Genomic DNA, 13,302 nt, shown 5'->3' with positions numbered 1-13,302 from the left:
CTCCCAAAGTGCTGGGATTACAGGCATAAACCACCACGCCCAGCCAAGGGCAGAAAATCGTTAAATATCACTTGCGGAACATTTAGTATTTTAAATATAAATTTAGAAACATGAATGCACTAAAATTTTATACTTTTTGAAAAATTAAATGATATTCATTGAAAATTATAAGAATTTTAAAGAAAAATTGAGTATAGGCCTTCATATTTTTCAAATAACTGTACAGATAAATCAAGTGCTTAAATATAAAACCAGAGCGTTGATTTGGATGTTTTTAATTATAAATAATTAAAAATACAAATCCAAAGTGATTTTAGAAAATAAAGAAATATCTTGAATTGTCTCTAGAAAATCCAGAGGTCATGTGGAACTCACAATTGGTTGATCTGGCCACTCAAGAATGCCATCAGCACCTGGATCATACCAGAACAATGCTGCCCAATGCACGTAGTATATAAAACACCAATGTAACGTTAAATTTACTAGTAGCTACATTAAAAATCCAAAAAGGAAGAGGTGGAATTAATTTTGGTAACATCTTTTAACCCAATGTATCCAAAATATTATCAGTTCAACATGTAATCAATATAAAAATTATGAGATACATTTATTTCATGCTAAATCTTCACATCTGGTGTGTGTATCTCTCTTATAGTATATCTCAATTCGGACTAATCATATCTCAAGTGTTCAACAGCCATGTGTGGCAATGGTTATTGTACTGGATGCACAGTGCTAGTGTTGGCTTCGCTGTCGTGTGGCCACTCCTTTGGAAAGAGGTTGGCCACAGCCACAGTAGGAGCTGTCTGCTCTCTCAGGTAAGCCTGGTGGGTGAGAGTACTTTTGAACAAAAGGCTGAGATGCAAGTCTCTTTCATTGCCTGGGTCATGTCTATCCCTGAATCAATGGCTCTGATCAAGCAAACGAAATATACCAACTAAGCTCACCAGTGTGGCCACACCTGGAATTGAGTTGCTGTCAATTTCTTCCAAAGTTCGTGGGCTACAGGGCACACACATGCTGGCTACTGAAATGAGAATCTGGAACCCACAGAGAGGGAAAAAGAGGATGGGTCACACTTCAGGGAGGATAGTAGGAGTGAATAGCAAGCTTGTGTTTTAAATCACATGTGACCTGTTTTGATATGTTTTTAAAATAGGAATTTTCTTGCAAGTTTTTAATTTTTATTTTTTGAGACGGAGTCTCGCTCTGTTGCCCAGGCTGGAGTGCAGTGGTGCGATCTCAGCTCACTGCAACCTCCACTTCCTGGGTTCAAGCGATTCTCCTGCCTCAGCCTCCCAAAGTGCTGGGATTACAGGTGTGAGCCACTGCACCTGTCTTGCAAGAGTTTAATGAAACACAACTTGTTCTATTGTCTTTGTGGAACTAACTTCTAAGATAGTTTCTTCAGGAAGATGCATGAAGCTTTAGAAGATCTTAGAACACGGCCGAGTGCGGTGGCTCACGCCTGTAATCCCAGCACTTTGGGAGGCCGAGGCGGGGGGATCACGAGGTCAGGAGATCGAGACCATCCTGGCTAACACAGTGAAACCCAGTCTCTACTAAAAATATAAAAAATTAGCCGGGCATGGTGGCAGGTGCCTGTAGTCCCAGCTACTCAGGAGGCTGAGGGAGGAGAATGGCGTGAACCTGGGAGGTGGAGCTTGCAGTGAGCTGAGATCTCGCCGCTGCACTCCAGCCTGGGTGACAGAGCGAGACACCATCTCAAAAAAAAAAAAAAAAAAATCTTAGAACACATAAAATTTCCAGTTAGTTCTGGATTTAAAAAACTCTGGTCACTGACAGAAAAAAAAGGAACTTACTTTTCAAAACATCCACTCTTTCTGTAGTCTCTATAGCTAATCTTCCTATAATCTTTCCATTTTTTTCACAGTAATTATTTTATTAACCATGGGCTGTAATAGAACTGCTATATTTTTCATTCTTATTTCTTAGTTGCCCTAAGCTAATTCTATATTACAAATGTGAATTATAAACTGCCCAATTCCAGAAGTAATTATTTTTCTTTAATGAAATCTCTCTTTTGCTAGAAAATATATAATTTTACTTGTTTATAACCATAACAAAGTTTTCTTTCAAAGGTAAATATGAAGTCAAGGTAGTCATCTGGATGAAAAGATCACTTTTACCCTGATAAATTTTTATTTAACAGGAAAAACTTCACAATTTTAGAAATTAAACTTCCAAATGATGTCATTTGCATAAAATGGTAAATGATTTCAATATATGAAAATGTTAATTAAAATAACGAATATTATATAATCCTGCATAACACTATTTTAAATCTACTTTGAAACCTAGCTTTTCCATCTGTAGCTGAGACAATTACTCCTAGAATATACAAATTTCCATGCAGAAACGGTTAGTAATAGAGTACTTTTCATAAGCTTTACCCACTATAATTTCACTTACTTGGCATATTCATACGTTTAGGTGGTAAGTCATGTCATAAATAAATCATGGTATCACTAACATTTATTTCTGATTACAGATAATGTATTTACAATTAACACTGATGATAAAACTAGAGCTGGTTTATTCCAAGTCATGTACAACTTTGCATGTAGAAGTATCCATGAACAGATGGTGAGTGATGCCATACATAACCAAGGGTGCATTTTCTTCAAGAAATCTAGGAATGTCATGGGAGAAAACATCAGTCAGGCTTACCAACTAGACAATCTTCACTCTTCCTTTGGCAAAACCTTCTTATTTTTATAGCACTATAGAAAAAAATCCTCTTTAAGAGTGCAGATGAAGTCTAGAAAAAACTGTCTTCTGACAGTTTCCTCTGAAAAATTTAAAGGGAGACAAGCAGATGAGCAGTTGAATTTTGGAATCTATTTTCAGAGTGTTTTCTCTTGGTAGCTGAAATTGTTTGTGGGGATTGCAAAGACACAGTGTGCACCATAATATTTCTGACAAATGGCCGTCTGTCATCCAGTGAACAGAGAAATCGGTGGAGATCTACAGGCTAAACTAAGAAATCCCATAGCTACTACACATGGCTCTACCATAGACAGCCCATAAATATCCACATCTTGGTGTCCATTGAAAAACAAAGAGAACGGAAACACAGAGCTTTCTTCATCCTGTGTACCTTCAGACACATATAACATGGTCACATGATTTTCACTTAAAATCTCAGCTCAGTTTTGTAACTTGCCAATACCAAGGTTTCAATTGAATAATGAATATACTCGCATACATAGCAGAAGATAATTGATTGTTTAATGTTGTATTCCGTATAGAAAGAGAGATTGTGTCCATGAAAGCTTTATATACTATATTACTGAAACATAATGTTCAATGTTTCAATGTTTCTTTTTGTTTGTTTGGTTTCTGAGACGGAGTCTTGGTCTGTTGCCCAGGCTGGAGTGCAGTGGCACAATCTCTGCTCACTACAACCTCCATCTCCTGGGTTCAAGTGACTCTCCTGCCTCAGCATCCAGAGTAGCTGGGACTACAGGCACACATCACCATGCACGGCTAATTTTTGTATTTTCAGTAGAGACAGGGTTTCACCATGTTGGCCAGGCTGGTCTTGAACTCCTGACCTCAAGTGATCTTCCCACCTCAACCTCCCAAAGTGCTGGGATTACAGGCATGAGCCACCGTGCCTAGCCAATGTTTCAAATAGGAAAATATATGGCTATTTGGGGCAGGTAAATCCTGGGCATCAGATTTACTGAGGGTGACAATGCTGGAAAGAGCCTTTTCAACAGCACAAAAATGAGGTCAGAATAAGAAGCACCAAAAATACGAAGAAAAATCCGAAATTATCTTGATGGCAGTGAGTATCTAATGCTTTTATTCTTTTGTATTTTAGAATATTTTAAACAATTATATTTTCAGAAATTTTTGTTTTCTCAAATGTGAAGGTAGGACCATATTTTCATGCTCTATTATTTATATAATTATAGTTATTTGTACAATTCTAAATAAAATATTTTCTTTTTCCAGTAATAACACAATAAATAGGATACTATGATTGAATTTGAGTTATTTTTTTCATGAAACTGTGAAAACATGAAAAATATGGCAAATATTTATTCACAGGATAGAAAAGGGTAAGTCCAGGTTTGAAGGGCATCAGAGGTGTTGCATGATCAATAGTATCTTCTGTCAAGAAGACCAATTACAAGTCCCCTGCATATGAAGTTGAATGGACTATGATACAGTGGCAGATTAAGAACACACAAATACACACACATGCACACACACACACACACACACACACACACACGGGGCAGAGAGACCTCTCCTATTGTTACAGCTAAATTATCTTTTAAGCACTCATAATATTTTTTATTTTTTTCCTTACAAATCAAAAGAGTAGTAACTTGGGATACATATTCTCTCTATTTACAATTTCTATTACAAGTCAACATAATTACAAGAATTTAATAAATAGCAAGCATAACAACACTGACATTTCTTGCCAGAAACATACTGTTTGTGTGTGTGTGTGTGTGTGTGTGTAGACTGTGTGTGTGCCATAAAGCTGTGTAGGGCACTATGCTCAGTAGGTACTGGAGGAGGTGGAGATAGTCTCTGCTTTGATATCTAGTGAGCGTGCAGGGACATATATGCAGTAGGGTAAAATTAATCCACTGTTATCCGGACATCTAAGTACGTTTAGCCACATCACAAGTAGGGATTGTGAAAAAGGCATTGAGTGAAAGCAATGGTATAAAAGGAGGGTAAAAATGGGAAAGTACATGACCATTTGGGACAGTTAAGTCCTGGGCAACAGATTTATTGAGGGAGACAGTGCTGGAAAGAGCCCTTTCAACAGCACGAAGATGAGGTCAGAATATGAAGCACCGTAAATATCAAGAAAAATCTAGAAATTATCTTGATGGCAATAAGCATCTAATGCTTTTTTTGTATTTTGTATATTAAAATCATTTTCTAAATTACAAATGATAACTTGATTTTTGTAAAAGATTCAAATAGAGCAGAAGTGAGCCGGTAAAATTCTTCTAACCACTCTGCTCCTTCCATCCCCATTCCACTCATTAGGGGGCTGGAGTTTAAAGTTCCATGTCTAAAAACAAACAAGGGAAACATACTAACAATGGCAGTACTATGCTATATTTTCAGAAGTTAGCAGTCACAATCCTTTAGGCTATCTCTTCAGATATTGACCTTCATATTCTTAAATGAAAATGGTTTTAAAAGCTGGGTTTTGATTTTTCATTTTTAGATGTTATAGATTTTCTTCCTACTATGGAATATGATGATTTAGTGGTCTGAACCACTCCTTTCCTTCCTCACACACACCTTCCCTCCTTTCATGCTCAGAATAAGTACATTTCAAAAGCAGTATTTAGCATTTGCATTAGTATCACCAATCCAATTATGATTTATAAGCCAGCCATGTAGTTTACAGTGGTTTCATGTCTGTTTTTCTCAAACATCTGAGTTAACTTCTGAGTGAAGTGTTTATTGCCTTGTTTGTAAGCCTGCTTGTGTGCATGGTTTTATTCTGCTTTCTGCACTGCCTCGGTCTCTTCGAGGTTCCTTTTGACGCAATTTTATTTGCTATGGCCTCTGTTTTTTGTTTCATACTTTCCTCAAATATCTGGTGACCCCTAACTGGCTAACTCTCGTGCATCTCAACCCATCTCGGCATCTGCTTCTAGGAGGACCTGAGTTAAGCCATAGGTCTTCCTTTATTTCAGGAAAGACTTTATATACATCTTGTATTTATTCTCTATTTCAGGAAAACCTGTATGTTCAATTCCATTATTTGACTTGTGCGCATACCCATGTATTTTCCGTCTCTCTGACTGAATTTCTTTCTTTGTTACTTTATTAATGCCTATTATTTTCTGAAGCTACTATAGTCTCTTTTCAGCTACAGTTATTGGATTTCTAAGTGCTTATAAAAATTGTTTTATTTGTGTGAAGCATTTATCATTATTTTCAATTTACTTTGATGAGCACTTTAGTCTGCTTTATATCCTTCCCATTGTCTTACCTGTTCTCGGATTTCTTGCAACTCTTTCCTGTTAAATCGGAGTGCCGATTTTCATGATTTCCTGGATGTACAGATAAATATTTTTTAAATTTTGTTTCTTCTTCATGTTTCCCTTTGTTGATTTTCTCTTTAAAAATTTTTTTTATCATCCACAAACAGATATCATGTTGAATCCTTTCTGCTTTTTTTTTTTTTTTTGTCAGTGAAGGGGACAGTCCTGTCTAGACCTAATACTTGTTGTGAAGTGTAGGGGCTGAGGAGAGAGAAGAGGTGGGAGATTGGGAAGGAGGCCATTTTGAATTAAATATATCATCTCAGAACTCTCTGGCCAAACTGGGTAGTCCTTTGTGATAGGTCTGTTAATGTGTATTAATAGAACTGAGTCAATTGCTGGGGTAAGAAAAAAACTAAGGATGGCTGTCATTTTGCAGGCCTGGATAAAAGAGAGGTTGGTGGTGATGTCAGGAACATTGTTAAGGAGTTACAAGTGAAAGTGAAAAACTGCTTTGCTAAGCACTTTATGTATAAACCCAAAGGGTATTTTTAGCATAAATAATAGGACTTACTGAGAATATCATACCTCTAATATAATTCATCAAAATTTTATTTCTATTAAACAAATCTGAAACTTTAAGAATAATTTATTTAAAGAAATCTCCATTAATACAGTAAGACATTTTTCTTAATATTAATGAAAATAATTATCTTAAGGAAAATTTGTTTACAAAAAAATTGATATGTAAGTGATGGAATACTGAGGCTTTGAAAAAGTTAGTTTTACTTTTTTATCCTGTCTTTTTTTTTTTTATTATACTTTAAGTTTTAGGGTACATGTGCACAATGTGCAGGTTAGTTATATACGTATACATGTGCCATGCTGGTGTGCTGCACCCATTAACTCGTCATTTAGCATTAGGTATACCTCCTAATGCTATCCCTCCCCCCACCCAACAACAGTCCCCAGAGTGTGATGTTCCCCTTCCTGTGTCCGTGTGTTCTCATTGTTCAATTCCCACCTGAGTGAGAACATGCAGTCTTTTTAAAGAACTATGATAATTAAAGTAGAAGTGAAGCAAACTGATGTCATGTCTAATACAGATTTCACATGCCTACATTTCTTTAGAATATATTGATACCTCTTGATGAATACTGAATTTTATCAAATATTTTTCTGTACCTATAGAGATCATCTCAGAATTTTAGCTTCCATTTCCTAACATAAAATCATTTATTGATATTTTATTGTTAAAGTAGCCTTACTTTCTGGACTGTATACAATTAGGTTGTGATGATGTCTTTAGTATTGATGTTTCTGAGATTAGTTGATTTTATCCTATTTTTGTATTGTCCTCATCTAACCTACAAGGTTGAGTGCTTAGCTGATTAATTTTCCATCCCTATTTTCTTCTAAATACGTGTATGTAAGTCTATAAAATTTTCTCTACCAACTTAGCCACATCTCATAAATTTTGATGTAGTGTTTTCATTATCGTGTAGTTCCAATATGTAATAAGTTCCCTTATTGTGTTGTCTTTTATTAAAGATCTTACAGACGTGTTCTTAATTTTAAAAGTATAGGCTTTTTGGCTTTTATTTGTATTGCATTATGATCTGAAAACATGAGCCCATGTTCTATAGGCTCTTGATTATTTTATACACGTTAAGATGTGTTTGTGGCATCTTATGTTGTCAAATTTTGTTAATGTTCCAAGAATGTTTAAAAGCAATGTATAGTCTCTGATTTTTGTTTTTGCTTAAGCTTGTTTTATGCTGTTTAATTTTCTATTTCCTTAGAAACTTTTTTCATGCAGTCTAATATTTATAAGATGTACCTTTTTAAAAGTCTCATTATAATTGTCATGTTTTCAATTTTTTTGGTTGAATCACATGAAATGGTTGTTATTTAACAGTACTGACCTACAATTATGGCAGTTTCAATAGGTTCCATCTAATAATTGTGTCCATTTTTGTGTGTGTACAAACTTAAAATACACTCAAGGGAATATTTTATCAAGAGTTCAGATATATTGCATCTTGCTGATGAATCATTTTTTTCTAATGATAACATGTAATGACCCTCTTTTCCCAAAACTTTGTGTTTTGCCTTGCCTTCAGTTTACTTTCAACATTCCTGTATCTTAAACTTTAGATGTTTTCTGTTAGAAACGCACAAAGTTGGGCTTTTAAAACTCAATCTAAGGTTTTCTTCCTTCTCTTTTATAACAGGCAAATGTAATCATTTTTGTTTCTTTTGATTCTACATATTTATATTTTCTCTCTCTCTTATTTTATAGTGTCTGTTATAATATTTATTTACTCTTTTTTCTTTCTATATTTTCTCTACTTCTAATTACATTAATTTAAAAATTTCCCCTTTTCTCCTATTTACTTGTTTAGATGTATTTATAATCTTTTAGTAGTTTACTTAATGTGCCCACTTGACCAAAAAGTAAAATCAAATGTAAAATATAAACGTATCCATACTTCTCTTTTTATTACCTTCCATTTCTTGTTACTGCTATCAACTATTTTAATTCTACCTTTCTTTTAAACATCTAAAACTTACTCTTTATTACCATCACTGTTATTAAAGTTAATGTATATTAGGTTTGGTCACGTTTAACAGTATCTTTACTTCTTGTACTCCAGTTCTTCTTTGTGAGTTCAAATTTATTTTCCATTACGTACATCCATTATTTATTTTCTTTAGGGAATTTTTGTTTGGTAAACTCAGCATTTTCCAAAGATGAATCAATTTAGTATTTATTCTTGCATATTTCAGTTGGTGATAGAGTTTTTAGTTATTTGAAGATGGTTTTCATTATTTTCTGGCTTTTATTGCATCTGGCCTCATTTCTTGAATGGTTATAAAATTCTTGGCCAACGAGGGATTTCATTTCATCACTTCCTGTTCTATCTCGTTGCTATTGAGATATCTGATGTCAATCTGGTTTGCTGTTCTTTTGTGGGTTATCTGTCTTATCTCTCTGATTTTAAAACTTCCTTTTGCATTTAGAATTGGGCAATTTTACCCTCGTGTTTCAAAGTATGAATTGCTTTTTATTTTTTTCATGCTGGAACTCAATGTACTTCTTCAATCTGACAAGTCATACCATTTGTCTAGTCTGTAGAATTACCAGTTATTGTATATTTACCTCATCCCCATTTGCTGTATCATCTCCTTTAGGAATGATTATTAAATCTGTGTTCAATATTCATACTCTATTCTGTATGTCTAAAGATATTTTATATTTCCCATCTCCTTAACATCTCTCTGTTGCACGCTGAATGATTTCCTCCTATCCTACAACTCTCTCATTTTCTCTGCACTTGTGACTAAGTTACCACTTTCACAATTCAGTTTTTAATGTTAAATTAATTTAACTGTGGTAAGAACACTTAACATGAGATCTACCCTCTTAACACATGTTTTAAAAAAATTTTATTTCCGTAGGTTATTGGGGAATGAGTGTTTGGTTACATGAGTAAGTTTTTTAGTGGTGATTTGTGAGATTTTGATGCACACATCACCTGAGCAGTATACACTGAACCCAATTTGTAGTCCTTTATCCCTCACCCCCTTCCCGCCCTTTTCCCCTGAGTCCCCAAAGTCCATTGTGTCATTCTTAGGCCTTTGCATCCTCATAGCTTAGCTCCCGCTTATGAGTGAGAACATATGATGTTTGGTTTTCCATTCCTGAGTCACTTCACTTAGAATAATAGTCTCCAATCTTATCCGGGTTGCTGCAAATGCCACTAATTCATTCCTTTTTATGACTGAGTAGTATTACATTATATATATATATATATATATATCTCATATATATATCTATATAAATCTATCTCATATATATATCTATATAAATCTATCTCATATATATATATCTATATATATATATCTCACAAATTCTTTATCCACTCATTGACTGATGGGCATTTGTGTTAGTTCCACATTCAATTATAAATTGTGCTGCTATAAACATACATGTGCAAGTATCTTTTTTTTGTATAATGACTTCTTTTCCTCTGGGTAGGTACCCAATGGTAGGATTGCTGGATCAAATGGTATTCTATTTTTGGTTCTTTAAGGAGTCTCCAGACTGTTTTCCATAGTGGTTGTATTAGTTTACATTCCCACCAAGAGTCTTAACACATTTTTAAGTGTACAACACAGTACTGTTAACTAAGCACAGATCTGTAAAATGTGTGCATCTTGCATAACTGAAACTTTATACCTGTTGCACAGCAACTCCTCATTTCTCCCTCTTCCAGCTCCTGGTAAGCACATTCTGTTCCCTGCTTCTGTGAATTTGACCATTTCATATACTCCACATAAATTGAATTATGTAATATTTGTCCTTCTGTGAATGGCATATTTTACTTAGCATAACATCCTCAAGGCTCATCCATGATGTAGCATATGGCAGGATTTCTATCTTTTTTGAGGCTGAATAATATTCAATTGTATGTTTATACCACATTTTCCTTCTTCATTAATCCATCAACAAACATTTGTTTCCATATCTTGGCTATTGTGAATACTACTGCAATGAACATGAAAGTGCTAATATCGCTTCGAGATCCTACTTTCATATTTTTTTTGATAAATACCCGTAGGTGGAGCTGTGGATTTTATGTATTTCTATTTTTAATTGTTTTGGGAATCTTCATACTGTTTTCCATGGCAGCTGTACCATTTTGCATTCCCATCAATGGTGTACAAGAGTTCCAGTTTCTCCATATCCTCATCAATACTTTGTTTTTTGTTTTTTAGATAATTAGCCATCCTAGCAAGTGTGAAGGTATGTCTCATTGTGATTTTGATTTGCATTTCCCTGCTGATCAGTGATGCTGAGTATCTTTTCATGTACTTATTGGCCATTTGTATATCTTTGGAGAAATGTTTGTTCAAGTCCTTTGCTGTTTTAAAAATTAAATTAGTGTAGGTGTTTTTTGCTATTGAGTTGTAGGAGTTCCTTATGTATTTTAGAAATTAGTTCCTTATCAGATATACAGTTTGCAAATATTTTCTTCCATTCCACAGGTTGACTGCTTCCTCTGTTTATTGTTTTCTTTACTGTGCAGTTGATTTTTAGTTTGATATAATGCCACTTACCTACTTATGCTTTTGTTACCTGTGCTTTTGGTGTCAGATTCATGAAACCATTGCCAGAACCACTGCCTGAAGCTTATCCTTCTAGGAGTTTTATGGTTTCAGGCCTTAACCTTTGTCTTTAAACCATTTTGAGTTGACTTTTGTGCATGGTGTAAGATAGGGGTCCAATTTCATTCTTTTGCATGTGGATATCCAGTTTTCCCAGCAAGAGACTATCCTTTCCCCATTGTGTATTTTTGGCACTCTTGCTGAAGATCAGTTGGCTTTATAATGTTGCGATTTGTTTCTGGGCTATTATGTTCCATTACTCTATATGTCTAACTTTATGTTTTATTGTTTTAAGCATATTGCTTTAATTATTGGAGCTTTGTAATATACTTTGAAATCAGTGAGTGTGATCCTTTTAGCTCTGTTCTTTCTCAAGATTGTTGAGGCTATTTGAGGTCTTTTGTGGTGATACATGAATTTGCTAATTGTTTCCATTCCTGTGAAAAATACCTTGGGATTTTTTTGGGGATTGCATTGACTCTATGGATGCTTTAGAGTAGTATAGACATGTTAACAATATTAACTCTTTCAACTCGTGAATACAAGATGTCTTTCCACTTATTTGTATCTATTTTACTTTCTTTCCTCAATATTTGTTTTATTTATTTATTTTTTAGAGATGGAGTCTCATTCTGTCACCCAGACTCGAGTGCAATGGCACAATCATAGCTCATTGTAGTATGGAACTCCAGTGCTCATGTGATCCTCCACCTCAGCCTCCCGAGTATCTGGGACTAAAGGTGTTCACCTAAAAGCCATTTTTTTTTTTTTTTTTTTACTGAGGTCTCAGTGTGTTGCCTAGAATGTTCTATGTTTTCAGTGTACCAATCTTTCATATCCTTAAATTTATTCCTAAGTGTTCCTTTATCTTTGTCATCATTTTGATGTATTTTCTTTATAACATTCATCAAGGTCTGAAATTATCCCATATATTATTTTCTTCACTTAATTTTTTTGGTATTTACTTTCATGGAAAATACCTAATTTCTTTTCTTCATCTCTCTGTCTTCAGCTATCTAGAAATAGGACATAAAGCAATTCAATGCATAGGTGGTAAATGGATAAATAAATGAACAAATTAATAAATCTGCTGTAGTTAGCTATGTGCCTTTTTAAAAAATAAGATGCTAATGTACATAGAGATGGTGACCACAGTGATTTTGCGCTCTGTAAATGAGATACATCCCCAGGATCTGACACAGCCCCATAAATTCTGATTGAAAAAAAATCAATTCCACTCCTAGAAATGTTATTATAAACATTATACACATATAATATGTATAATGTATAAAGTATTATATACACATGTGCTTACTGAAACATTGTTTATAATAGTAAAAAGCAAAGGATAAGGTACAGCATGCTAAACAATAGAGCAATGGTTAAATAAACTAGAGTTTGCAGTAGAATATTATGCAGCCCTTAATTGCCACTTAGACTTTGTTTCAATTCTACCAGAATACAAAAACATAGCAAGTAAGTGCATATGTAGTATGATCTTAATTTTATAAATACATATATGAATTTTATCTTGACCTATACTTTTATCTATGTATTTATACCCATATTTAAAAATGTTAATATATGGTAGTGATGATTTTTACCTTTTTATTCACATATTTCTTCATGTCTTGAGTTTTCTCAACTAGGCTATATTTATTTTGCAATTTATAAATTTGACTATTAATTTCAGTTAAACTTAATGTATTTATACCTTGGAATTCCATCAGATTTTCAGATATCATACTGCCTTCACTTAAAAAGTTACTTTTCAATGGAAGGTACAGAAATTGTTTAAGGGAAATAAAGCTTGTCTAAGAAGACATTTACACTTTTGTTATGGAAGTCATATGAACTAACAACAGGGAATAACAACAGGGAGGCTCCATATGTCAGCATTAATGCCTAAAGAAAAGAAAAGGAAATATTTAGGAGAGTGGAAAGTGTAAGAAATAGAAGGGGTTTGCAACAGGAAAAGTGATTCTGAAATCTCCAAAATAAGACACTTCTAAAGAAGTTGAAATGAGGGAGGAACACATTTGAATGTGCTATAAAGCTTAGTTAAAAAGCTGGAAAAGCAATAATGAAAAGTAATGGCAACCCTCACGAGTTAAACCCATTAATTTACATA

At 34.2% G+C, this 13,302-nt stretch overlaps 1 protein-coding gene and 1 long non-coding RNA gene across 4 annotated transcripts in view; both read right to left on the bottom strand.

The window, feature by feature from the left end:
• The window catches only part of DOK6 (docking protein 6), a 448,200-nt gene that overhangs the window by 65,131 nt on the left and 369,767 nt on the right, over window positions 1-13,302 (bottom strand). The window lies entirely within an intron of this gene.
• On the bottom strand, window positions 2,479-9,430 carry LOC107985138 (uncharacterized). Its single transcript, XR_001753491.2, has 2 exons — window positions 6,008-9,430; window positions 2,479-2,653 (listed from the first exon to the last, which is right to left on the bottom strand). It is a non-coding gene; the product is annotated as an uncharacterized LOC107985138 (long non-coding RNA).

The sequence above is a fragment of the Homo sapiens genome, chromosome 18 (genome assembly GCF_000001405.40).
Source record: "Homo sapiens chromosome 18, GRCh38.p14 Primary Assembly".
In the NCBI taxonomy this organism is placed as follows: domain Eukaryota; kingdom Metazoa; phylum Chordata; class Mammalia; order Primates; family Hominidae; genus Homo; species Homo sapiens.
This window is presented reverse-complemented; position numbering and strand designations above follow the sequence as displayed.